The sequence below is a fragment of the Homo sapiens genome, chromosome 7, assembly GCF_000001405.40.
Source record: "Homo sapiens chromosome 7, GRCh38.p14 Primary Assembly".
Taxonomy (NCBI): domain Eukaryota; kingdom Metazoa; phylum Chordata; class Mammalia; order Primates; family Hominidae; genus Homo; species Homo sapiens.
The window spans coordinates 101,413,196-101,438,292 of NC_000007.14; the positions used below are offsets into that span (position 1 = coordinate 101,413,196).

A 25,097-nucleotide genomic window follows, 5' to 3' on the forward strand; every position below is an offset into this window, starting at 1 on the left:
TAGGTGAAGTGGGCCGCCTCTTGCAAGAAAAAGAGACTTGTGGCCGGGCGCGGTGGCTCGTGCCTATAATCCCAGCACTTTGGGAGGCTAAGGCAGGTAGATCACTTGAGGTCAGGAGTTCCAGACCAGTCTGGCCAACATGGCGAAACCAGTCTCTACTAAAAATACAAAATATTAGCCGGGTATGGTGGCGGGTGACTGTAATCCCAGCTACTTGGGAGGCTGATATAGGAAAATTGTTTGAACCCAGGAGGCGGAGGCTGTAATGAGCTGAGATCATGCCATCGCACTCCAGCCTGGGCCACAAGAGTAAAACTCCATCTCAAGAAAAGAAAGGAAATGAAAGGAAAGGAAAGAAAAAGAAAAGAAGAAAGAAAAGAAAAAGAAAAGGAGACTTGTTTGGGAGCAGATCCGTCCTCAAGACCTTTGCTAGGAGTGAGTTTACTGTCTTGGACCCTCCCTGAGTGCTCAGCTGGGGAGAAGGGAAGGGAAATGAGGAAGGAACATTGCTGAGATGATGCCCAGAGATAATGCCAGTCCCTTGCCATCCTGATGGAGGCTGCCGGGAGTGTGTTCATTTCTTGGCAGTTCGAGGACCAGGCCTGCCATGTCCCAGTTCTGTCCTCCTGGGTCAGTCCTTCCAGGAGGGTCGTGAAAGGGACATGTGTCTCCTGCTAAGCACCTTTCTGGGTGCAGTTATTTTATGGCCCCCAGAGCACTGTTCACCCACTGCTGTGCACCCGCCATAGTCAGGAGCTGAGGTGCGCAGGTGGGCGGTGGCAGGACGACACCACCAGACAGCAGACAGAGGCAGACAAAACACTCAGGACGCAGGGATCCTAGGGGCAAGGCAATGGGGGTCCCCACAACCGCGGCTACCTGGGGATGCACAGGCTTTAGAGCTCCATCTGGAAAGGCCTGGAGCCCTTTCCTTGTCTCTGCCTCCCTTCTTCGTTGTTTTTGGCCAAGTTTTGATTTTTGGAAGCCATTTCCAGCCCATTTAAAGACCAAATGTTATGGGGACGGTGATTTGAGGTATTTGGAAATGTTTTCCAATTCACAGCTCATTTCTCTATGGAAAGCCCTGACTCAGTGTGGTTCAGAGATGCTGGACGACGGCCTGTCTGTTCTAGAACCCTCGGGCGGATCTCAGGATCCCACATTAAACCATCCTGAGGAAAGTCACCTCTCTCTCTCTCTCTCTCTCTCTCGCTCGCTCTCGCTCTCACTCTGTGTTTGTGTGTGTGTGTGTGTGTGTGTGTGTCGGAGTCTTGCTCTGTCACGCTGGCTGGAGTGTAGTGGCACGAACTCGGCTCACTGCAACCTCTACCTCCCGGGCTCAAGCAATTCTCCCGCCTCAGCCTCCCGAGCAGCTGGGATCACAGGCACCTGCCACCACACCCGGCTAATTTTTTATTTTTATTAGAGACGAGGTTTTGCCATGTTGGCCAGGCTGATCTCAAACTCCTGACCTCATGTGATCCGCCCATCTCGGCCTCCCAAAGTGCTGGGATTACAGGCATGAGCCACTGCGCCCGGCTCACCTTTCTTTTTGGAAACACACACTGAGTGCTTGAGCTGGAGCTGAGGCTTTCCAGTAGAATCAAAGGAAGGGCCTAGGCTGCTGAAGTCTCCCACAGTTTCAGGACCTTTTTAATTGGCAGAGGTGGAATTCACAGTTTGTACTGGGTAGGTGGGATCCCGCCAGTCCTCGGGTCAGGAAGACTAGACTCCCTTTGCAGCTCAGCCTGTGGTTTGAGCTGTAGCTATGGGCAATGAAGTTTAACCTCTTAGACTTTCTTTTCCATCTGCAAACTAGGACTGTCTTTAAGCTGTTAGATTCCTTTGTAGGGTTTAAGTAACCAGTTGATTAAGAATGATGCCTTGATTTTGGTAATGCTGCATGATTTACACACTACTGACTGGGATGTGTTCATTTAGTCCTGATCATAACCCCCCCCCTTTTTTTTTTTGAGACGGAGTCTCTCTCTCTGTCGCCCAGGCTGGAGTGCCGTGGTGCGATCTTGGCTCACTGCAACCTCCGCCTCTCAGGTTCAAGCGACTCTTCTGCCACAGCCTCCCCAGTAGCTGGGATTACAGGCGCCCTCCACCATGCCCGGCTAATTTTTTGTATTTTTAGTAGAGACTGGGTTTCACCATGTTGGCCAGACTGGTCTCGAACTCCTGACTTCAGATGATCTACCCGCCTTGGTTTCTCAAAGTGCTGTGTTTACAGGCGTGAGCCACTGTGCCCAGCCTCATCATAACCTTAAAAGTTAGATTTTAAATATAACTGAGGCTCAGAGAAGGGACATCACTCTGCCTAAGTCATACAGCAGGTTTGTGGCAGAACCTGGTTTTAAACTAGGTTTCCTGGTGCCTGTGAGAAGAGGGCTCAACTTTTCACTACTTTCCCTTTTCTTCCATGTTTTTGTTTTGTTTTGTTTTGTTTTGAGACAGGGTCTGGCTCTGTCATCCAGACTGGAGTGCAGTGGTGCGATCATAGCTCTCTCCAGCCTTGATCCCTGATCTCAAGCGATCCTCCTGCCTCAGCCTCCCGAGTAGCTGGGACCACAGGCATGTGCCACCATGCCTGGCTAATTTTTACTTTTTATTGTATAGAGATGGGGTCTTGCCGTGTTGCCCAGGTTAGTCTGGAACTTCTGGGCTCAAGTGATCCTCCCACCTCAGCCTTCCAAAGTGCTGGGATTATAGGCGTGAGCCACTGCACCCAACCCCTTTCACGTATTTTTGAGTGTGCTAGTACTGGTAATATGTATTTTCCTAGAAAATTGTCCAGTAGTCAGGATTTTTGAAATTTTTTGATGTAAGATTATACCTAATATTTGCTTATACATTTAAATCTCTATATGGAATTTTTTTTTCTTGTTCTTCATGTCTATTAAACCTGAGTTTAGCAGGGCATGGTGGCACACGCCTGGAATCCCAGCCCTTTGGGAAGCCGAGGTGGGACGATCACCTGAGCCCAGGAGTTTGAGACCAGCCTGGGCAACATAGCTAGACCCTGTTTCTACAAAAATGCAAAAGTTAGCCAGCATGTTGGCGCACACCTGTGGTCCCAGCTATCTGGGAGGCTGAGATGGGAGGATTGCATGAGCCCAGGAGGTTGAGGCTGTGGTGAGCCATGATCATGCCACTACACTCCTGACCTCAAGTGATCCACCCACCTCGGCCTCCCAAAGTACTGGGATTACAGGCATGAGCTACCACACCCAGCCTGAACTCATGTCTTTCTTCAGCTCTTGTAAATTTTCTTGTTATTTCTTCAAGTACATGCTTCTCTTTGTTCTTTTTTGATCATGCCTTCCAGAGCTACTACTATATAGATGTTGGTCCTTGGTCTTCCTCTAGGTCCCTTGTTGCCTGTTTCTGCCTGTTTTCCATCTCCTTTTCTTTTTGCAGTGGCTACTGGGAAAGGTCACAGCTTAGATTTGCAGCTCATCGGTTTGCCCTTTAGCTGTTTCCATTCTGTTTTTCATAGTCATACATTTCACTTCTAAGATAATGCATTTTTTTAATTTCATTTTTTTTGTGTGTGTATGTCACAGGGTCTTGCTCTGTCACCCAGTGTGGAGTGCAGCGGTGCGATCATGGCTCACTGCAGTCTCAAACTCCTGTGCTCCAGCGATCCTCCTGCCTCAGCCTCCTGAGTAGCTGGGACCACAGGCATGTCAGGGACCATGCCTGGCTAATTTTTGTATATTTTTGTAGATACAGTGTTTCACCATGTTGCCCAGGCTGGTCTAAACTCCTGGGGTCAAGCTATCCACCCGCCTCAGCCTCCCAAAGTGCTGGGATTACGGGTGTGAGCCACCATGCCTGGCCAGAATTTTTTAGTGAGTGATACATTGTCTTATTTCTTTGAGGACATTAATTATGCTTTAAAAAATTATCTCCATCTATTTGCTTTACTATTTTTTAAGGGGATGTGATTTATTGCCTGTTGAGTTGGTGCCTTTCTTCCATGATACTGGCCTTTTTTCCTCAAATAATTTGAAAGTCTTGGTATCTGGGGTTTTCCATTAGCTTGTTTCTGTTTCCTGAGAATTTGTCTGTTGGTGGGCTGGAGGTATGGATGAAGAATGGGAAACGAGTGTGTAAGAATTCATTTATCTGTCTGACTTTGAGAGTGACCCTGTTTCTCCTGGAGGTCACAAGCTTTTTTTTTTTTTTCTTTTTTCCATCCCCCAAGACTGAAAGGTCACCAGTTTTTGAGGTCAGCCAGCACCCACTCCTGTGACCATACCTACCTTAGGACAGGTGAATCCAATGCCTAATATCTTTTTTTTTTTTTTTTAAATAGAGACAGGGTCTCGCTCTGTCACCCAGGCCAAAGTGCAGTGGCACTATCATATCTATGTATCTCTACATATCTATAGATACAGGTATATCTATATATCTAGACATAGATATAGAGATATATCTCTATATCTAGACATAGATATAGAGATATATCTCTATATCTAGACATAGATATAGAGATATATCTATAGATATCTATATCTATAATATATTTATATCTTGAGATGGAGTCTTACTCTGTCATCCAGGCTAGAGTGCAGTGGTGCGATCTCGGCTCACTGCAACTTCTGCCTCCTGGGTTCAAGTGATTCTCCCGTCTCAGCCTCCCAAGTAGCTGGGTCTACAGGTGTGTGCCACCAAGCCTGGCTATTTGTTTTTGCATTTTTAGTAGAGACAGGGTTTCTCCATGTTGGCCAGGCTGGTCTCGAACTCCTGACCTCAGGTGATCCGCCCACTTTGACCTCCCAAAGTGCTGGGATTACAGGCATGAGTCACCATGCCCAGTCGTATATATATACTTTTTGTAGAGACAAACAGGATCTTGCTATGTTGCCCAGGCTAGTCTAGAATTCCTAAGCTCAAGCGATTCTCCCACCTTGGCCTCCCAAAATGCTGGGATTATGAGTGTGAGCCACCGCACTCAGCCTCCAATGCCTGATTCCTGAAACCAGCAGGGACAAGGACCCGGGTCCTACCTGTCCAGCTCTTTCTATGGTGGTCCCCTAACCAATCTCTCTGATGGTCACCTTTGGGTCCCTCTCTACCTCCTCATCTGCATCTGTGCCCCCATGTGGCTCCTAGCTTCAGCCCCGGTCCTCTTTTGTGTGTTTCTGGCTGTGATTTTTGCCTTCAATGTGGGCCCATCTACTTTCTGTCTCTTAGGGACCCCTCCAAATGTCTGGCCCATTGCTTCTCTCTTTCCAATGCCCTTGAGGACTTTTTTTCTTATTTTATTTTATTATTATTTTTAGACAGGGTCTCGCTCTGTCACCCAGGCTAGAGTGCAGTGGCATGATCACAGCTTACTGTAGCCTCAACCTCCTGGGCTCAAGTGATACTCCTGCCTCAGCCTCTTGAGTGGCTAGGACTATAGGCGTGTGCCACCACAGGTAATTTTTAAATATTTTTGTAGAGATGGGGTCTCGCTATGTTGCCCAGGCTGGTCTCAAACTCCTGGGCTCAAGTGATCCATCCTCCTCGGACCCCAAAAGTGCTGAGCCACCACCCGGCCAGGGACTTATTTTTTAATTTTCAATTTCTAGGCTATGGGGATGGGAGGAGGAGGTGGGAGCACCTTAACCTGATCCCGTATTGTTTGTGTACGTCCCTTCCTCTTTCCTCCTCTCCACTGCCCAAGCTTGCTGCCCCTTGCTTCTTGTACTCTGAAGGCATTTATTCCCTAGCCCGGCAGGTCACATGTCTCTTCCTTTCTCCTGGCTCCTCCCCTTCCTTCAGCCTTCTGGCTCTTTCTTTCTTTCTCTCTCTCTCTCTCTCTGGCTCTTTCCCTTCCTCCCTCCCTCCCTCTCTCCTTCTCTCTCTCTTTCTCTCTCATTCCTCCTCCCCTCCCCTCCCCTCCCCTCCCCTCCCCTCCCCTCTTCTCCCTTCCTCTCCTCCTCTCTTCAGGGTTTCACTCTGTTGCCCAGGCTGTAGTGAAGTAGCATGATCATAGCCACTATGATCCTGGGCTCAAGCCATCCCCTGCCCCAGCCTCCTGAGTAGCTGGGACTACATGTGTGTGCCACCACGCCTGGGCTAATTTTTTAATTTTTATTTTGTAGAGGCAGGGTCTCACTATGTGGCTCAGGCTGATCTTGAACTCCTGGGCTCAAGAGATCCTCCTGCCTCAGCCTCCTAAAGTGCTAGGATTACAAGTGTGAGCCACTGTGCCTGGCCTGGCCACTTCCCATTGCAGGCAAGTCTCTAGACTTGCCGTGGTCTCTCTCCGCTCTGTGCCTGTTACACCGCTGCTTCCCCTGCTGGCTTCGTCCCCTCTCACGGCCCCCACACATTGGTCAGTTGGTCGGTTGGTCGGTTGGCTAACTTATCTTGCACTACTCAGCTGGTGGCCTCAGGGCCTGCTGGGCGAGATGCCCTGCTCCGTTCCTGTAGCTTGTGTGTTCACCACGTGGTGGAACGTGTTACCTGCTGTTCCTATGGACTGTGTCATCTCCTCTCCCCACCAGGGTGAGATTTCCACGGGCAGGGCTGAGTCTTTCTCACCAATTCCACACTGAGTGGTCAGTGACGGGAATGATGCCAGGGCTTGGTGGCCAAGGGTTGCAAGTGTTCTCTCTTCCCCTCAGACCGAGACAGAGGGTCTCAGTGGGCCCCCCATCCAAGAGAGCGAGCCTCCACCCCAGGTTTGCGGGGGCCCCTCCCTGTCCAGCACGGCCCCCTGACCCGAAGTTGGCAGCTCTGGGAACAGGCAGGGCTCATGTGACTGTTGCTCTCTCCACAGGCACTGGTGCCATCACACAGTGACACGGACGGTGTCCTGCCAGGTGCAGAATGGCTCGGAGACGGTGGTCCAGCGCGTGTACCAGAGCTGCCGGTGGCCGGGGCCCTGCGCCAACCTCGTAAGGTAAAGGCCGCTGGGCTAGGCTGCTCTGCCCTTCCCTCCCATTCCCTCGGACAAAACCAGTCCCAGGATGGCTCTGGGAGAGGCTGGGCTGTGCTCACAGACAAAGGCTGAGCATGCATTTATGGAGCACCTTCTGTATATAAGGCATGGGTGTGTGTATATAGGGTATATATGTGTGTGTGCAAAGATGTCAGAGACATGCTCCTACCGCAACAGAACCACACAACCCAGTGGGTGTTTGACAGACAGAAGACCACCACAGATGAGTGGGGTATGGGATCCGAGGTCGGGGAAGGCCAGGTGGGGTTGAAGAGGGAACCAACCAGCCTTATGGCTCCAGGCTGGAACGAGGGGCTACAATGACCTTGGAAATCCAGCCTGTCTTTGGCCCCATCCATCACAGGCCTCGCCCCTGGCAGCACTGCCCCACTCACCAGGCATGTCCCTCTCACTGGCCCTACTTGTTACTGGACCTGCCCCTCACGAGGCCTGCCTTTCACCAGCCCTGACCCTCATGAGCCCCACCCTTCACCAGCCCTGCCCCCACCAGCCTTGCCCCTCACCAGCTCTGCCCCTACCAGCCACGCCCCTCACCAGCCACACCCCTCACCAGCCCCTCCCTCTCACCAGCCCCGCCCATAGTCAGCCCTTCCCTCTCACCAGCCCCTCCCTCTCACCAGCCCCTCCCTCTCACCAGCCCTGACCAGACCACAGGCTTCAGGGACTCTTCAGCATCCGCAGAGAGATCTTGCTGTCAGACACCAGCATTCACGGTCTCCAAAGTTCCAACTCTCCTTCTTTTCCCTTCTTCCTCCTCTCCAGGCCGTGCTTAGCTCCAGGGACTGGCTTCCCCAAACCACTCTCCCCACAGCCTGCCCAGCCTGGGGCCTCTACCCCAAGCACCGTGGAGCCGCTGTCCTCAAACTCCAAATCCCTTCCCCTCCTTTGTGCCCTCCCTAACGGGACATTTTGCCTGGGTCAGGGTTCTCCAGAGAACCAATAGGAAGGGATGGGGGAGAGGGAGAGTGGGAGAGAGATTGAAATGGTAAGGAATTGGCTTGTATGATTATGGAGACTGGCGATTATTCCAAACCTGCAGGGTGGGCTGGCTGGCTGAGACCCAGGGAGGAGAGCTGATGTTGCAGCTTGAGATGGGCTGGCTGCTGGTCAAATGCCTCCTTCCTCCGGGGAAGTCAGTCTTTTTCTTAAAGCCTTCGACTGATTGGACAAGGCCCACCCACATTATAGAGGGCAACCTGCTTTACTCCAAGTCTACTGATTTAAATTAATCTTGGCTGGGTGCGGTGGCTCATGCTTGTAATCCCAGCACTTTGGGAGGATGAGGCGGGTGGATCACTTGAGGTCAGGACTTTGAGAGCAGCCTGGACAACATGGCGAAACCCAGTTTCTACTAAAAATACAAAAATTAGCCAGGCGTGGTGGTGGGCGCCTGCAATCCCAGCTACTGAGGAGGCTGAGGCAGGAGAATCACTTGAACCCAGGAGGTGGAGATTGCAGTAAACCGAGATTGCGCCACTGCACTCCAGCCTGGAAAAAAAAAAAAAGAAATTGCTACGTCTCATGACTGGTGATGTTAACTTTGATCGCTTGCTTATGATGGTATCTACCAGGTTTCTCCACTGTTGCATAATTATCTTTCCCTTTGTCTTTTACATGTATGTTGTGGGGAGACATTTTAAACCTATACGAACATCCTGTTTCTCATCATACTATCATATTGCTTGCAACAGTTAATGCTATGGTGTTTGCCAAATGGTGATTTCCTATTTTCATTCTTCTTTAATAGTAGAGATGCTTCACTTGAGACCCCTATTGCATACAAGTGTTTTGATACAGGTCATTCTGCAAGGGGAATGGCTAGGTAAACGGAATGTCATTCATTTTCATTTTTATTAGAAACAGCTGCTTTTGCCAGTTGCGGTGGCTCACGCCTGTAATCCCAGCACTTTGGGAGGCTGAGGCAGGTGGATCACCTGAGGTCGGGAGTTCGAGACTAGCATGACCAACATGGTGAAACCCAGTCTTTACTAAAAATACGAAAATTAGCCAGACGTGGTGGTGGGCACCTGTGATTCCAGCTACTTTGGAGGCTAAGGCAGGAGAATCACTTGAACCGGGAGAAGGAGGTTGCAGTGAGCTGAGATTGTGCCATTGCACTCCAGCCTGGGCAACAAGAACAAAACTCCATCTCAAAAAAAAAAAAATGCTGGTTTTAAATGCTATACTAGAGAGATGGCAGTGGGTCCAAAATGAAAAAAAAAAAAAAAAAAAAAAGCTTTTTCCTTTTCAGCAGAGGGTACAGACACTCCCTATCCCCTGCCTTCCCCACTTCCCCAGGAGCTAAATTCCAAGACTCTCCTGCCTTTCTCGTCAGCAGGGAGTTTCAGATTACCAGGTCATGGCCTCTTGATTTGGGAACAGCTTCTGAGAAGAAAAGTCTTTGAAGTCTGATCTGTCTGTGACCCTGACAGGCTGGGCTTTGGCTCAGAGCTCTGTTGGAGAAGTGGCTGTCCTACTCTTTCTTTCTTTCTTTTTTTTTGGAGACAGGATCTTGCTCTGTTGCCCAGGCTGGAGTGCAGTGGTGCAATCATGGCTCACTGCAGCTTCCAATTGCTGGGCTGAAGTGATCCTCCTGCGCCAGCCTGAATAGCTAGGACTACAGGCATGCATCACCGTGCCTCACTAATTACTTTTTCTTTGGTAGAGACAGGGGTCTCGCCATGTTGCCCAGGCTGGTCTTGAACTCCTGGCTTCAAGGGATCCTCCTGCCTCAGCCTCTCAAATTGCTGGGATTACAGGTGTGAGCCACCATGCCTGGTCTCAACAAGTTAAAGCTGTTACACTATCAAAACACAATAACGCAGCCGGGCACGGTGGCTCACGCCTGCAATTGCAGCACTTTGGGAGTCTGAGGCGGGTGAATCACCTGAGGTCAGGAGTTTGAGACCAGTTTGGCCAACATGGAGAAACCCTGTCTCCACTAAAAATACGAAAATTAGCCAGGTGTGGTGGTGAGCACCCGTAATCCCAGTTATTCAGGAGGCTGAGGCAGGGAGAATTGCTTGAACCTGGGAGGCAGAGGTTGTAGTGAGCCAAGATCGTGCCACTGCACTCTAGCCTGGGCGACAGAGTGAGACTTCCTCTCAAAACAAAAACCAAACAAAAAAAAAGAAAAATACAATAATGCACCTATAAGAAAAGCTGGACAAGCTAGCGCCTGAATCACTGACCTGGACTGAAAATTTTTCAAGTGATCATTAATGTTGCATAGTTGTTCTCTCCTTTACCACTTAAGTAATTATCTGAACAATGTTTCAGAAGTGCTGGGGTCCGGCCCGGCGTGGTGGCTCACGCCTATAATCCCAGCATTTTTGGAGGATAAGGTGGGTGGATCACACGGTCAGGAGTTTGAGACCAGCCTGGCCAATATGGTGAAATCCCATCTCTACTAAAAATACAAAAAAATTAGCTGAGTGTGGTGCCACATGCCTGTAATCCCAGCTACTTGGGAGGCTGAGGGAGGAGAATTGCTTGAACCTGGCAGGCGGAGGTTGCAGTGAGCCGAGATCGCACCACCGCACTACAGCCTGGGCGACAGAGTGAGACTCCGTCGCAAAAAAAAAGAAGGACCGGGGTCTTCGATGTGGTGTTCACTGACTTTCCAGGGAGTTCTTCTCACTCACTCCTTGGAGTTCGGAGGCCAAAACAGAACATTCAGTCAGGGCTGACATGAATTTGTCATAAGTCTCCCCTTTGCCTATAACATATAACTAGTGGGAACCTTGCTAATTAAAACAATTTGGCCAGTGACAGTGGCTCACACCTGTAGTCCCAGTTACATAGGAGGCTGAGGCAGGAGGATTGCTTGAGGCCAGGAGCTCGAGACCAGCCTGGGCAACACAGTGAGACCCACCCCATTTTTACAAATTTTTTAAAAAACATCAGCCATGGGTTGTGGTGCGCACCTGTACTTGGGAGGCTTAGGTGGAAGGATCGCTTGAGCCCAGGAGTTCGAGGCTGCAGTGAGCTGTGATTGTGCCACTGTACTCCAGCCTGGGCGACAGAGCGAGACCGTGTCTGAAAATAAATAAATAAATACAATAATAAAACTTAATTTTCATTCTCTTAGAGAAATCCCAAATTGCTGATCTTAATTGTCATAATTTCTGCTGTTATTATATTTTACTAGGGAATGGGCCGGGTGTGGTGGCTCACACCTGTAATCCCGGCACTTTGGGGGGCCAAGGAGGGTGGATCACCTGAGGTCAGGAGTTTGAGACCAGCCTGGCCAACATGGTGAAACCCTGTGTCTACTAAAAATACAAAAATTAGCCAGGTGTGATGATGCACACCTGTAATCCCAGCTACTCAGGAGGCTGAGGCAGGAGAATCACTTGAACCTGGGAAGCGGAGGCTGCACTGAGCCAAGATCATGTTGCTGTACTCCAGCCTGGGTGACAGAGCAAGTCTCCGTCTCAAAAAAAATTTAATAATTTATTAGGGAAGGAGAGGTTAACACAGTTTTCTTTCTCACTAGTAACTCATAAATGAGCTAGAATTGGGTGCACACCCTCTGTCTGTGGCCTTGGGGCTGCTGTCTGGGCAGGGAGAGGCAAGATGACAACAGGTTGCAGCATTATCCTTTGGTCCCCTGGGGTTCCATATGCATTCCTGTCTCAGGTCCTGGTTTTGCTGGCCTTGCCTATATGAAGCATCTGGTTTGTGGCAGCCATCTCACTGGTCTCCCCACTCCCCACCCTGCCCCGCTCTAGCTCCTTCTCTCCACAGAAGCTGGAGGGATATTTTATTTTATTTTATAAGGGTCAGGATCTCCCTTTGTCCCCCAGGCTGGAGTGTAGTGGTGTGATCATAGCTCACTGCAGCCTTGAACTCCTGGGCTCAAGCAATCCTTCTGCCTCAGCCTCCTGAGTAGCTGGGACTACAGGCACACACCACCATGCCCAGTTAATTTAAAAAAAATTTTGGCCAGGCGCGGTGGCTCATGCCTGTAATCCTATAACTTTGGGAGGCTCAGATGGGTGGATCACGAGGTCAGCAGTTCGAGACCAGCCTGCCCAACATGGTGAAACCCTGTCTCTACTAAAAATACAAAAATTAGCCAGGCGTGGTGGCGGGTGCCTCTAATCCCAGCTACTCAGGAGACTGAGGCAGGAGAATCGCTTTAACCTGGGAGGCAGTGTTCATTCCCTGGCCGAATTGCTCATCGTCTGCCCGCTCTGCTAGTCTGGGAGCCTTAGGAGGTCCGGGACTGTCTCATTGGCTGCTGTGTTCCCCATACCTGGCTTGCAGGAGATGAAGCAGCATTACTGAATTGAGGTTAGGTTAGGAGGATGAAATCAGATCAGAGATGTCAGAGAACTCTGGGTTTTGTTTTAGATGGAGTCTCATTCTGTCACCCAGGCTGGAGTGCAGTGGCGTGATCTCGGCTCACTGCAACCTCTGTCTCCCAGGTTCAAGTGATCCTCCCACCTCAGCCTCCCAAGTAGCTGGGACTACAGGTGTGCATCAGGACACCTGGCTAATTTTTTTTTCTGTATATTTAGTGGAAATGGGGTTTCACCATGTTGGCCATGTCGGTCTCGAACTCCTGAACTACCTCAAATGATCGGCCTCCCTCGGCCTCCCAAAGTGCTGGGATTACAGGTGTGAGCCACCATGCCCGGCCCCCAGTGCTTCTTAGCATAATTTTTTTTTTTTTTTTTGGAGACGGAATGTCATTCTATCACCCAGGCTGGAGTGCGGTGGCGTGATCTCAGCTCACTGCAACTTCTGCTTCCCGGGTTCAAGCGATTGTCCTACCCCAGACTTCTGAGTAGCTGGGACCATAGGTGTGTGCCACCACACCTGGCTAATTTTTGTATTTTTAGTAGGGATGAGGTTTCACCATGTTGGCCAGGCTGGTCTCGAACTCCTGACCTCAAGTGATCCACCCATCAGCCTCTCAAAGTGTTGAGATTACAGGCATGAGCTGCTGCGTCAGGCCAGCATAATTTTTTAGCATAGTTTTTCAGTTTTCTTAAGAGTCTGCTGCAAGAGTCTGCGTGCTGGGTAGAATTCCCTGAGCGAGCAGAGCCTGGGTGGGAGGAACTCGGAAGGTTCCTGGGAGCACTTTGAGGCAGGGTCTGTCTTCTGCACTGGTTTCCCCATGGCTCATAATGGCTTGTGTCATCACTATAAATGACGTTACCAAAAGAAGCTTCAATAACGGGGGAATATTCACCTCACAATCTATCTGGGAGAGGCGGCCAGGTCTCAGCCATGAAGATCCTGGGATCCTTTGACTGAACTCTCCACCCACACCTGTGTGTCCACCATGACCTTCCTCAAGGTCGCAGAAGGGCAGCAGCAGCTCCAGGCATCACGTCTCACACCACAGTGTCCCAAAAAAGAGAGGAAGGGGATGGGACACAGTTTTCTCCTATCAGAGAGTACAGCCTTTTCCAGAATCCCTAGCAGACTTCCCTGGATGTCTCATTGGTCAACATTTTTCCTCTGAGCCTCAGTTTCTCCAGGGCTAAGATGGTGGTGATAGAAGGCTGCCTCAAGAGGTTCTTGGAAGGGGATGTGAGGTTTGCAGGGGAAGGTCCTGCACTGAGCCTTGCTGTAATAAGAACCCTGGGAATGCAGACTGAGGCCAAAGTATGGGTGAGCTATGAAGAGAATCAGAAGCAGGTCCCAGCACGTCAGCCGAGGCAGCTCCCAGCGGGCAGTTCTGGCCTAGGCATGCCTTGATCTTGCATTCCGCTCTCTGAGGTTAGGGTGGCAAACCCCAGCTGGGCCCTGTGTAGCCGCCTTGTGTGGTACTCTGTTGCTTACCATCCTGCCTGCTCAGTGTGTCTTGCTACATTTCACCCCCAGCATTTACATAGAAATTTGCAAATGTGTGTATTTCTTGTCTGTTCCCCCTCATCATTTACTTATTTATTTATCTTTAAGAGAGGGAGCCTCACTCTGTTGCTCAGACTGGAGTGCAGTGGCACAATCATAGCTCACTTTGGCCTCGAATGCCTGGACTCAAGTGATCCTCATGCCTTAGCCTCCCAACTGGGTGCCATGATGGATGGATGCCATATGCCTGGCTAATTAAAAAATTTTGTTTTTTGTAGATATGAGATCTTGCTTTGTTGTCCAGGCTGGTCTTGAACTCCTGGCCTCAAGTGGCCATTCCACTTCAGCCTCCTGAGTAGCTGGGACTACAGGTGTGTGCCACCACACCTGGTTAATTAAAAATTTTTTTTGGCGGGGCATGGTGGCTCATGCCTGTAATCCCAGCACTTTGGGAGGCCCAAGTGGGCAGATCATTTGAGGTCAGGAGTTCGAGACCAGCCTGGCCAATGTGGTAAAACCCCTTCTCTACTAATAATACAAAAATTAGTCAGGCATGGTGGCAGGCACCTGTAATTCCAGCTACTCGGGAGGCTGAGGCATGAGAATCACTTGAACCCAGGAGGCGGAGATTGCAGTAACCAAGATCGTGCCACTGCACTCCAGCCTGGGTGACAGAGTGAAACTGTTTCTTAAAAAAAAAAAAAATTATTTTTTGTTTTAGATATGGGATCTTGCTTTGTTGCCGAGGCTGGTCTTGAACTCCTGGCCTCAAGTGATCCACCTGGGCTTCCCAAAGTGCTGGGATTACAGGTGCGAGCCATTGCACCTGGCTGTCTTCACCATTTTCAGGAGCTGTAGGGGACCCAATTCTGGTTCCCTTCATTCTTTGAAGCATTTTGGATGCTTTCATTTGTGTTGGCTTAAAACTTTTGTGTGGAAAAGAGAATGGAGTCTGCTCCTCATGGTGTGACTAATGTAAACAGCCTCTCCTGGTTCCCCTCTTCCTACGACACATTTCTTTTGCTATTTTACACATTTGTGATTTCTACGGCGTGAGTATATTCTAGATTTATTGTCATGATAACACAAGAAAGAGAAAGGGGAAAGTGTCTTCCAGGTTGTTCCCCAGGCTTTTTTGGGAGTTGGAGGTGTCAACTTAAGCAACAGAGAGAAGCCCTCTGAAAGAAATGACAGCCCGGGCAACATAGTGAGACCCTGTCTCTACAAAAATTTTAAAATTAGCTGGGTGTGGTGGTGCATGTCTGTAGTTCCAGCTACTCAGGAGGCTGAGGTGGGAGAATGGCTTGAACCTGGGAGGTTTGAGGCTGCAGTGAGCTATGATTGCGCCACTGCACTCCAGCCTGGGCAACACAGTGAGACCCTGTCTCAAAAAAAAAAAAAAAAGGCAAAGAGAATGATATTTATTTGAGAATGGGCATTGCAACGGGAGTATGCATGCATCGTAAATGATGCGGGTATTCAGGGAGGAAAAGGAAGATAAGGGTTTTTAAAGAAAAAGTGAGAAGTAGATAATTGTTCTGAATCAATTATCCTTGGCTACAAGTATCAAAAACAAGGGTGGTGTCAGTTCAAGGTTGGACAGGCAGTCGCTGGGTAGATGTAAATATATTTTTGTGCATGTGTAAGGTTGTGGTGGACTTTGTGCAAGGTTGTGGTTTTTGCAGTCTTTTGTGGTCGTGTGTGTGTGTATGTGTGTGTGTGTGTTGAGACACAGTCTTGTTATGTTGCTCAGGCTGGTCTCCAACTCAAGCAATCCTCCTGCCTCGCTCGGCCTCTCAAAGTGTGAAGATTACAGGCATGAGCCACCGCACCTGGCCCGCAAATAATTTTATCCCATTCCCTGGCTTGTATTTTCATCCTCTAAACAGTCTTTTGAAGAGCAAAAGTTTTTATGTTTGATGCAATCTAATTTATCAATTTTCTTTTTCTTTCTTTCTTTTTTTTTTTTTTCTTGAGACGGAGTCTCACTCTGTTGCCAGGCTGGAGTGCAGTGACGTGATCTTGGCTCACTGCAATCTCTGCCTCCAGGTTCAAGCAGTTCTACTGCCTCAGCTTCCTGAGTAGCTGGGATTACAGGCACCTGCCACCACGCCTGGCTAATTTTTGTATTTTTAGTAGAGACAGGGTTTCACCATGTTAGCCAGGCTGGTCTCAAACTCCTGATCTTAAGTGATCCATCCACCTCAGCCTCCCAAAGTGCTGGGATTACAGGTGTGAGCCACCATGCCTGGCCTCTGCTTTTTTTTCTAAAAGTTTTATCGTTTTCTGTTTCACATTTAAATTCATCATACATTTTGAGTTATTTTTTGCATAAGGTGTGAGGTTTAGGTTGAGTTTTATTTTTTTGGCCTATGGATGCCTAATTGTTCTAGCACCATTTGTTGAAGACGTCTCCTTTATTGAATTGCTTTTATAGCTTTCTCAAAAATCATTTGGACATTTTTTTTTCTTTCTAAGTTCTCTGTTCTGGTCCATTGATCTGTGTAACTAGTGTTTTGCCAATACCACACAGTCTTGATTACTATGGCTATATAATAAGTTTTGAAATCAGATAGATTGATTCTTCTCACTTTATTCTTTTTTTTCCTTTCTTTTTTACTTTTTTTTTTTTTTTTTTTTTGAGACAGGATTTTGCTCTGTCGCCCAGGCTGGAGTGTAGTGGTTCAATCATAGCTCACTGCAGCCTTGACTTCTTGGGCTCAAGTGATCCTCCTGCCTCAGCCTCCCGAGTAGCTGAGACTACAGGCACATGCCACCATGCCCAGATAATTAAAAAGAATTTTTTTTTGTAGAGATAGGATCTTGCTACATTGCCCAGGTTCGTCTCAAACTCCTGGCCTCAAGCAGTCCTCCTGCCTTGGTCTCTCAAAGTGCTGGGATTACAGGAGTAAGTCACCATGCTTGGCCTCCAGAATTGTTTTAGCTATTACAGTTCCTTTGTCTTTTCATATAAATTTCAGAATAATCTTGTCTATATCTACCAAAAGTCTTGATGGGATTTTTTAAAATAGGAATTGCATTTAACCTGTATATCTATTTGGGGAGAATTGGTATTTTTAGCATGTTGAGTCTTCCAATCCAAGAACATGGTATCTCTCTCCATTTACTTAGATCTCTTTTTATTTCTTCCAGCTTTCTTCATTGATTTCTTTGATATCTTGTAGTTTTGGGCATACAAATCTTATACTTATTTTGTTAGATTCATACCTAATTATTGCATTTTCTGTGTGATTGTCAGTGGTATTTTTTGGTAAAATTTGTAAAGCTGTATTTTTAATTTCTTTCTCTCTTTCTCTCTTTCTTTCTTTCTTTCGACGGAGTCTCACTCTGTTGCCCAGGCTGGAGTGCAGTGTAGTGGCGCGATCTCAGCTCACTGCAATCTCTGCTTCCAGGGTTCAAGCGATTCTCCTGCCTCAGCCCCCTGAGTAGCTGGGATTACAGGCACGCAGCACTGCACCCAGCTAATTTTTGTATTTTTTTTTTTAGAGACGGGTTTCACCATGTTGGTCAGGCTGGTCTTGAACTCTTGACCTCATGATCTGCCTGCCTCAGCTTCCCAAAGTGCTGGGATTATAGGTGTGAGTCACCATGTCCAGCCAGTATTTTTAATTTCTATGTCCATATGTTCTTTGCTAGTTTATAAAAACACAATTGATATTTATATATTGATCTCGTAGCCTGTAATGCAGCTGAATTCACTAGTTCTGAAAGGTTTTTTGTAGATTCCCTGAGATTTGCTATGGAGGCAATCATGTTGTTTGTCAACAGAGACAGTCTTATTCCTTTCCTTTTGATCTGTATGCCTTTTATTTTATTTTATTTGAGACGGAGTCTCGCTCTGTCACCCAGGCTGGAGTGCAGTGGTGCGATCTCAGCTCACTGCAACCTCACCTCCCGGGTTCAAGCAATTCTTCTGCCTCAGCCTCCCGAGTAGCTGGGATTACAGGTGGCCCACCACCATGCCCGCTAATTTTTTTTATTTTTTATTTTTAATAGAGATGGGGTTTCGCCATGTTGGCCAGGATGGTCTTGAACTCCTGGCCTCAAGTGATCCACCTGCCTCAGCCTCCCAAAGTGCTGGGATCATAGGCATGAGTCACTGCGCCCAGCCTGTATGCCTTTTATTTTATTTTCTTGCCTGTGTACTGGCTAGACTTGTAGCACTATGTTGAATAGGAGTGGTAAGTGTGGAGAGAATTGTTTGTTCACAATAAAACATTCTGCTACTAAAGATGATATTAAATGTAAGGTTTTCTTTTTGCTTTTCTTTCTTTTTTTCTGAAACAAGGTCTCTTTCTTTTGCCCAGGCTGGAGTGCACTGGTGCAGTCATAGCTCACTGCAGCCTGCAGCCTCGACCTCCTGGGCTTAAGCAATTCTTCCATCTCAGCCTCCCCAATAGCTGGGACTTTGGGCGTGTGCCACCATGCCCAGCTAAGTTTTGTATTTTTAGTAGGGATGGGGTTTCACCATGTTGCGTAGGCTGGTCTTGAACCCCTGAGCTTAGGGAGCTTCCTGCTTTGGCCTCCCAAAGTGTTGGGATTAACAGAGGTGAGCCACCATGCCCGGCTGTAAGGTTTTCAAAGATGCTTTTTATCAAATTAAGGAAGTTTTCCTCTTACTATTTTTCTGAGAGTTTTTTTTTTAATTATGGGTGTTGAATTTTGTCAAATGCCTTCTTTGCATTGATTGATATGATCATGTGATTTTTCTTCGTTAGGCTGTTAATATGATGACTACATTGAGTAACTCTCAAATGTTGAAGCAATGTTGCAATCCTGGAATAAACTCTACCTGGTGATAATTTTGTGTTTGTTTTAGAGATGGGGGTCTCGTTTTGTTGCCCAGGCTGGGGTGCAATGGTGTGATCATCTCTCACTGCAGCCTTGACCTCCTGAGCTCAAGCAATCCTCCTGCCTCAGCCTCCCGAGTAGCTGAGACTACAGGCGTACACCACCATGCTTGGCTAATTTTATAATTTTTTTTTTTTTTTTTGGAGACGAAGTTTTGCTCTCGTTGCCCAGGCTGTGAGTGCAATCTTGGCTCACTGTAACAGTTGCCTCCTGGGTTCAAGAGATTCTCCTGCCTCAGCTTCCCGAGTAGCGGGGATTACAGATGCCCGCCACCATGCCCAGCTAATTTTTTGTATTTTTAGTAGAGACAGGGTTTCTCCATGTTGGTTAGGCTGGTCTCAAACTCCTGACCTCAGGTGATCCACCCGCTTCAGCTTCCCAAAGTGCTGGGATTACAGGCATGAGCCACCATGTCCATCCTGATTTAGGTTTTGAAGAGATCCCTGGCTGCTGTGGGAAGAATGGACATTGACCCGGCATGAGATGATGGTGGCTCATGCTAGGGGGATATCTGAGGACATGAAGAGGAGTGGGTGGATCCAGGAGGTATTCTGGAAGCTGAGATGACAGGAATGTCTGGTCCCTTAATGGCAGGGAGCAATCAGGGACTACCCTAAATTCCTGGCTTGAGCAGTTGGCTGGCAGGGCATGCCATTTATTGAGATGGGGACACTGGGAGGATGTCAGGCATGAGAGGTGGGAGCCGGCAGCTGTGCTTTGGCTGAGTTGAGTTGCCTGCAAGCCATCCATAGGGAAAGGGTATCAAGTAGGAGGCTGAGTCCCAGGAAGAAGCCAGAGCGAGAGGCAGATTATATCTCAGAGATCCTAAGATGCCATTGGTAGTAAAAAGTGCATTCTTTTTTTTTGTTTGTTTTTTTGAGATGGAGTTTCACTCTTGTTGCCCAGGCTGGAGTGCAATGGCATGATCTCAGCTTACTGCAACCTCTGCCTTCTGGGTTCAACCGATTCTCCTACCTCAGCCTCCCTAGTAGCTGGGATTAGAGGTATTTGCCACCACACCTGGCTAATTTTGTATTTTTAGTAGAGACAGGGTTTCGCCATATTGGTCAGGCTGGTCTCGAACTCCTGACCTCAGGTGACCCACCCGCCTCGGCCTCCCAAAGTGCTGGGATTACAGGCGTAAGCCACTGTATCTGGTGAAGAAGTGCATTCTTTTATTATGGTTAAGAATGCCACTGGACCGGACGTGGTGGCTCACTCCTGTAATCCCAACACTTCGGGAGGCTGAGATGGGTGGATCGCTTGAGGCCAGAAGTTTGAGACCAGCCTGGGCAACATAGTGAAACCCCGTTTCCACTAAAAACAGAAAAAATTAGTTGGGCATGGTGGTGGCCACCTGTAATCCAAGTTACTTGGGAGGCTGAGATGGGAGGATTGCTTGAGCACATAAGGTAGAAGTTGTAGTGAACCAAGATCATACCACTGCACTCCAGCCTGAGCAACCAGAGCCAGACCCTGCATCAAAAAATAAATAAATAAAGTTGTGGGACTGGAGGTGACCATGGAGATGAATAAATGGAGAAGGGATACTGGCCTCAGAAGAGTCCTGTGCATCCCAGCCTTACAGGTGGGGCTTAGGAGGGGAGGCAGGTGTCCTCCTGGTGTCCTGGGAGGTGTTTCCAGAGGGAGGGTGGAACAGAGAATGCACTGTCCCAGATGCTTCTGAGACACCCCATAGGATGAGGGCAGAGGAGTAATCATTGGGTTTGGGGTCACTGGAGACCCTGGCAAATGCAGTTTTTGGGCAGTGATGCTTATAAACCACTGAGAATGATCCTCAGAAAGGGGAGAAAGGCTGGGGCAGGCGGGGAAAGGACAGCTGCAGGGACCAATGCTGGAGAAGCCGAGCAGGGTGGCTCGGAGAAAGAGGGGGGCCCTGTCAGAGCAGCAACAGGAGGGAAGGCCACAGCAGGGGTGCCCACGCAGGGGGATCCACAGAACACTGAAAGTGATTTCCAGGCTGACTCTTCCCACCAACCCAGGAGTGCCTTGAAGGCAGGATGCTCTGTCCTCATCTCATTATTCCCAGGACTTTACTACATGGACCAGCACATTGAGGTGCTCAACAATGTTCATTAAATGAATGCGTTCATCTTCTTGTGAGATGAAAGGAAAATAGGTATCTGTAATACAACCATTTTCTTTGTGGATTTTCCCATCTGGTGATTACTCCCTTCCCTTCCCTCCCTCCCTCCCTCCCTCCCTCCCTCCCTCCCTCCCTCCCTCCCTCTTTCTTTCTGCTTTCTTTCTTTTTCTTTCTTTCTTTCTTCTTTCTCTGTCTCTCTTTCTCTCTCGTTCTTTCTCTCCCCTTCCTTCCTTCCTTCTCTCTCTCTCTCTCTCCCGCCCCACCTCTCTCTCTTTTTCCCTTCCTCCCTCCCTCCTGTCTCTCTCTTTCTCTTTGTCTTTGTAGAGACAGGGTCTTGCTCTGTTGCCCAGGCTGGAGTGCAATGGCACAATCATGGCTCACTGCAGCCTCCAACTCCTGGTCTCCAGTGGTCCTCCCATCTCAGCCTCCCGAGTAGCTGGGACTACAGGCACACGCCACCACGCTTGGTTAATTTCTTTTTGTTCTTATTTTTTGTAGAGACAGGGTCTCACTGTGTTGCCCAGGCTGGTCTTGAACTCCTGAACGCAAGTGATCCTCCCGCCTCTATCTCTCAAAGTGCTGAGATTATAGGTGTGAGCCACTGCGCCTGGCCTGATTTTTTTTTTTTTAATAATATTAGAATGTTGTATTGTGTGTGAGTGAGTGTGTTGGTGAGGAGAGAAGGCGGCACTCAAAACTAACGCTCACTAGTGAGCATGGGGACAGGGTGCGAGGCAGGGTGCCCAGTCAACAGCATGATGTGGACAAGAATGCAGGCACCTGCCTGCTCCGGTTGGGTGTACTGGGGACAGTGACCTTACCTGGGGTTTTGCAGATCATGTGTTCATCTATTCAATTGTTCATTCAATGTTGTCTGAGCAGTGAAGGGCCAGGAACTAGTGTGTAGAGAGAACACGATCCTCTCCTCGTGTGTACAGGGTTGATGCGGGGAGGACATGTTCAAAGATTCACAGCATTGGAGGGAGACCTGGTCCGTGGGTTTCCCTTGGGAGTGACATTTAGCAGAGACCTGGGGGACTAGGAGATTTCACTAGGGGAAGAGATGCTGGTGAGGAGGAAAGAGCTCTGTTCAGGGTTGGGCGTGGTGGCTCACGCCTGTAATCCTAGCACTTTGGGAGGCTGAGGCAGGCAGATCACCTGAGATCAGGAGTTCGAGACCAGCCTGGCCAACATAGTGAAACCCTGTCTCTACTAGAAATACAAAAATTAGCCAGGTGTGATGGCGGTTGCTCCTAGCTACTCAGGAGGCTGAGACAGAAGACGTGCTCAAACCCGGGAGGCAGAGGTTGCAGTGAGCTGAGATTGTGCCACTGCACTCCAGCCTGGGCCACAGCGAGACTCCATCTCAATAAAAAAAGAAGACAGCTGTTCAGGCCATGTAGTCGCCCCTGGAGGAAGCCCCTGGCTGGAGGCAGACACCCTGGGCCAACCCCCTCCCTGCTGGCTGGGAGGCTGGACTGGACTGGGTGACTTTATTGCCAGGGTCGGGGACTCAAAGGCAGACAGACAAACCATGCTTCCCTCCTCCGTGCCTCAGTTTCCCATCCTGGGAAATAGAACCCCCCCACCTTCCTCTGGAGTGGATCACAGCCCCGGCTGGGCTCTGTTCATTGCAGTGGGGACGTTGGGCGTCACGGACATTGGGTGTCACTGACACCACCCTAGTCCCCTCCTAAACCCCTCGGTTGGCTGCTGGCTGGGACGGGCTGGGGCTCTGGGGCCTGATAGACTTAGAAGGACAAGTCCCAGGGACTCGGGGGGTTAAGTTTTCTTCGGCCGGGCTTCCCCTGCCCTTGGCTGTCTCCCAGGCCCCTCGGAGTCCTTTGATGGCATTAGAGCCAACCTTTTCCAGATGTGCTGAGCAGAGGGATTTGCCGGAACTCTCCGGGGCTTCATCTGCCTCCTTCATTCCCCTCTGCCAGACGGCCCCCTGCCCGCCAGCCTCCCCCCTCTGGTTGGGTCGCCTGCTGTTCAGGATGGATGCCCGCAAGGCAACACAAAGTCCTGGATTGAAGTGCTTTCTTAAAACATGCTCTTTCTTCCCTGCCTCTCCTCCTTAGCGGGACTGTTTGGGTTGAGAAGCTCACCATGGCTGCCCACCCCAAGCAGTGGGGGCCTGTCTGGGCTGCATCCACTGCACCACCCCGCACCGCCCCCAGGTGGACTGTGACCCTGGGCCAGAGGGTGAGGTGAGGTTTGGCAGAAGACCCTGCCCACTGGGCCCACTGTCCATTCCGTCTGGCTCTCGGGAACGTCTAGCTTGGATTCTGGGGAGGCTGGAGGCCTCAGAAATGCAGTGGGAAGCCCCTTTCCCCTCCCCGCTGGCCTGCAGCTATTAATCAAGAGATTAATAATCCCCTGCCTCCCGCTCTGAAACCTCCACTCTCGTTTCCTGTTGAGTCTCCAGCCTGACTCGGAACCTCCCAGTCTGTTTCTCCCCTCGTGGGGGTTCCTAGTGAGGAAGTGGAGGCCAGGGGAGGAGTCGGGGGCGGGCAGGCATGGAGGCTGAGAAGGGGTACGTGCCCAGTGAGGGAGGGGCATCTGGCTCCCCCAGGCAAGGTTCTGGGCTGGCAGAGTCATTCTGAGCAGGCGATCCCTGGATGGTGCAATGTCCCCCCGCACCCGAGGCAGGACTTCGTGACGCTTTGGGCCACATCCACTTTGGAGACCAGAGAGCCAAGACCTCTGCTTACTCACCTCCAGTGATGGGGACCTCATTTCTCCGGGGAGCCCTCCCCACCAGCATTTCATTTTTTTTTTTTTTGAGACAGAGTCTCACTCTGTCCCCCAGGCTGGAGTGCAGTGGCACAATCTCTGCTCACTGCAACCTCCACCTCCTGATTTCAAGCAATTCTCCTGCCTCAGCCCCCTGAGTAGCTGGGATTCCAGGTGTGCACAACCATGCCTGGCTAATTTTTGTATTTTCAGTTGTGACGGTTTCACCATGTTGGCCAGGCTGGTCTCGAATTCCTGACCTCAGGTGATCCGCCCGCCTTGACCTCCCAAAGTGCTGGGATTACAGGCTTGAGCCACTCCCAGACTGAGACTGCATCCAGGCACCCTGTTCGTTGAATGCTTCGTTCTTTCCACCAGTCTTCACTGGGTGCAGACGATGTGCCTCGCTCTAAGCTAGGCAGGCGGTGTAGCCAGTGGCTCCGTGGAGAAGGATGTCAGACAAATAATTACATACATGGGTGTACAATCATAAGTGCTTAGAAGAGAAGTCTGGGTACTTTGAGGGTGTAGATTGAAGAGGCCCAGCTTGCTGTAGGGTGGAAGGGACCGAGTGTGGGCTAGTCAGGGTGGGCTTCTAAGAGGAGGCAGCACTTTCACTGAGCTCTGGGAGGCTGCATGACTTGGGCAGAGACAGAGCACATGCACACAGGGCCAGTGGAGTCCTGAATGGGGGCGGAGTTCCGAATGGGGGGCGGAGTTCCGAATGGGGGCGGAGTTCTGAATGCTGGTGGAATTCTGAATCGGGCGGAGTTCTGAATGGGGGCGGGGAGGAGCTGGTGGCCAAGGAGAGGAGGAGGGATGGCCAAGGTATACAGTAGCCAGATGGCAGAAGTCCACAAGGTTAGGCTTAGGATTTGGGTATTGTCCTAAGATTTTTTTTCTTTTAAGAGACAGGGCCTCACTCTGTTGCCCAGGCTGGAGTGCAGTGGTACATTCACAGCTCGCTGCAAGCTCAAACTCCTGGACTCAAGTGATCCTCCTGCCTTAGCCTCCCAAATAGCTGAAACTACAGGCACGTGCCACTACACCCCACTAATTTTTTTTTTTTTTTTAAGAGACGGGGTCTGGCTATGTTTCTCAGGTTGGTCTAAAACTCCTGGACTCAAGCAATCTTCCCACCTCAGCCTCCCAAGTACGTGGGGACTACAGGCATGCACCACTATGCCTGGCTAATTTTTAAATTTTTGGTAGAAATGGGGGTCTTGCTATGTTGCTCAGGTTGGTCTTGAACTCCTGGCTTCAGGTGATCCTCCTGCCTTGGCCTCCCGAAGTGTTGGGATTACAGGCATGAGCCACTGTGCCTGGCCTTGTCCTGAGATTGAAGAAAAGCTAGGAGAGGTTCAAGGACATTTCTGCTTTAAAAACGTCACTTGGAGCTGGGCGAGGTGGCTCATGCCTGTAATCCTAACAGTCTGGGAAGCCGAGGCGGGCGGATCACCTGAGGTCGGGAGTTGGAGACCAGGCTAACCAACATGGAGAAACCGCATATCTACTAAAAATACAAAATTAGCCAGGCGTGGTGGTGCATGCCTGTAATCCTAGCTACTCGGGAGACTGAGGCAGGAGAATCACTTAAACCTGGAAGGT

The 25,097-nt window shown here is 49.6% G+C and overlaps 1 protein-coding gene across 6 annotated transcripts in view, besides 5 other annotated features; it reads left to right on the plus strand.

Moving 5' to 3' along the window:
• The window catches only part of COL26A1 (collagen type XXVI alpha 1 chain), a 196,637-nt gene that overhangs the window by 50,808 nt on the left and 120,732 nt on the right, over positions 1–25,097 (plus strand). For 5 of the 6 annotated variants that reach the window (XM_017011744.2, NM_001278563.3, XM_017011743.2 and 2 more), the window contains exon 2: positions 6,782–6,904. Coding sequence is in view for 4 of the 6 variants with exons in the window: in NM_001278563.3 (NP_001265492.1) it covers positions 6,782–6,904 (123 nt within the window). In the remaining 2 variants the exon portion in view is untranslated. Of the gene's footprint in view, positions 1–346; positions 436–6,781; positions 6,905–25,097 lie in introns of those variants that run through there. The other variant, XM_017011745.1, reaches the window with a different exon arrangement.
• Positions 7,205–7,756: an enhancer, noted in NCBI's record as "H3K4me1 hESC enhancer chr7:101063681-101064232 (GRCh37/hg19 assembly coordinates)". NCBI's record gives its function as "activates a minimal SCP1, AML or CMV promoter by ChIP-STARR-seq in naive H9 embryonic stem cells {active_cell/tissue: H9 hESC(naive)}" and the evidence as "EXISTENCE:reporter gene assay evidence [ECO:0000049][PMID:30033119]".
• Positions 7,757–8,308: an enhancer, noted in NCBI's record as "H3K4me1 hESC enhancer chr7:101064233-101064784 (GRCh37/hg19 assembly coordinates)". NCBI's record gives its function as "activates a minimal SCP1, AML or CMV promoter by ChIP-STARR-seq in naive H9 embryonic stem cells {active_cell/tissue: H9 hESC(naive)}" and the evidence as "EXISTENCE:reporter gene assay evidence [ECO:0000049][PMID:30033119]".
• Positions 9,106–9,631: an enhancer, noted in NCBI's record as "NANOG hESC enhancer chr7:101065582-101066107 (GRCh37/hg19 assembly coordinates)". NCBI's record gives its function as "activates a minimal SCP1, AML or CMV promoter by ChIP-STARR-seq in naive and primed H9 embryonic stem cells {active_cell/tissue: H9 hESC(naive and primed)}" and the evidence as "EXISTENCE:reporter gene assay evidence [ECO:0000049][PMID:30033119]".
• Positions 23,151–23,794: an enhancer, noted in NCBI's record as "H3K27ac-H3K4me1 hESC enhancer chr7:101079627-101080270 (GRCh37/hg19 assembly coordinates)". NCBI's record gives its function as "activates a minimal SCP1, AML or CMV promoter by ChIP-STARR-seq in naive H9 embryonic stem cells {active_cell/tissue: H9 hESC(naive)}" and the evidence as "EXISTENCE:reporter gene assay evidence [ECO:0000049][PMID:30033119]".
• Positions 23,795–24,436: an enhancer, noted in NCBI's record as "H3K27ac-H3K4me1 hESC enhancer chr7:101080271-101080912 (GRCh37/hg19 assembly coordinates)". NCBI's record gives its function as "activates a minimal SCP1, AML or CMV promoter by ChIP-STARR-seq in naive H9 embryonic stem cells {active_cell/tissue: H9 hESC(naive)}" and the evidence as "EXISTENCE:reporter gene assay evidence [ECO:0000049][PMID:30033119]".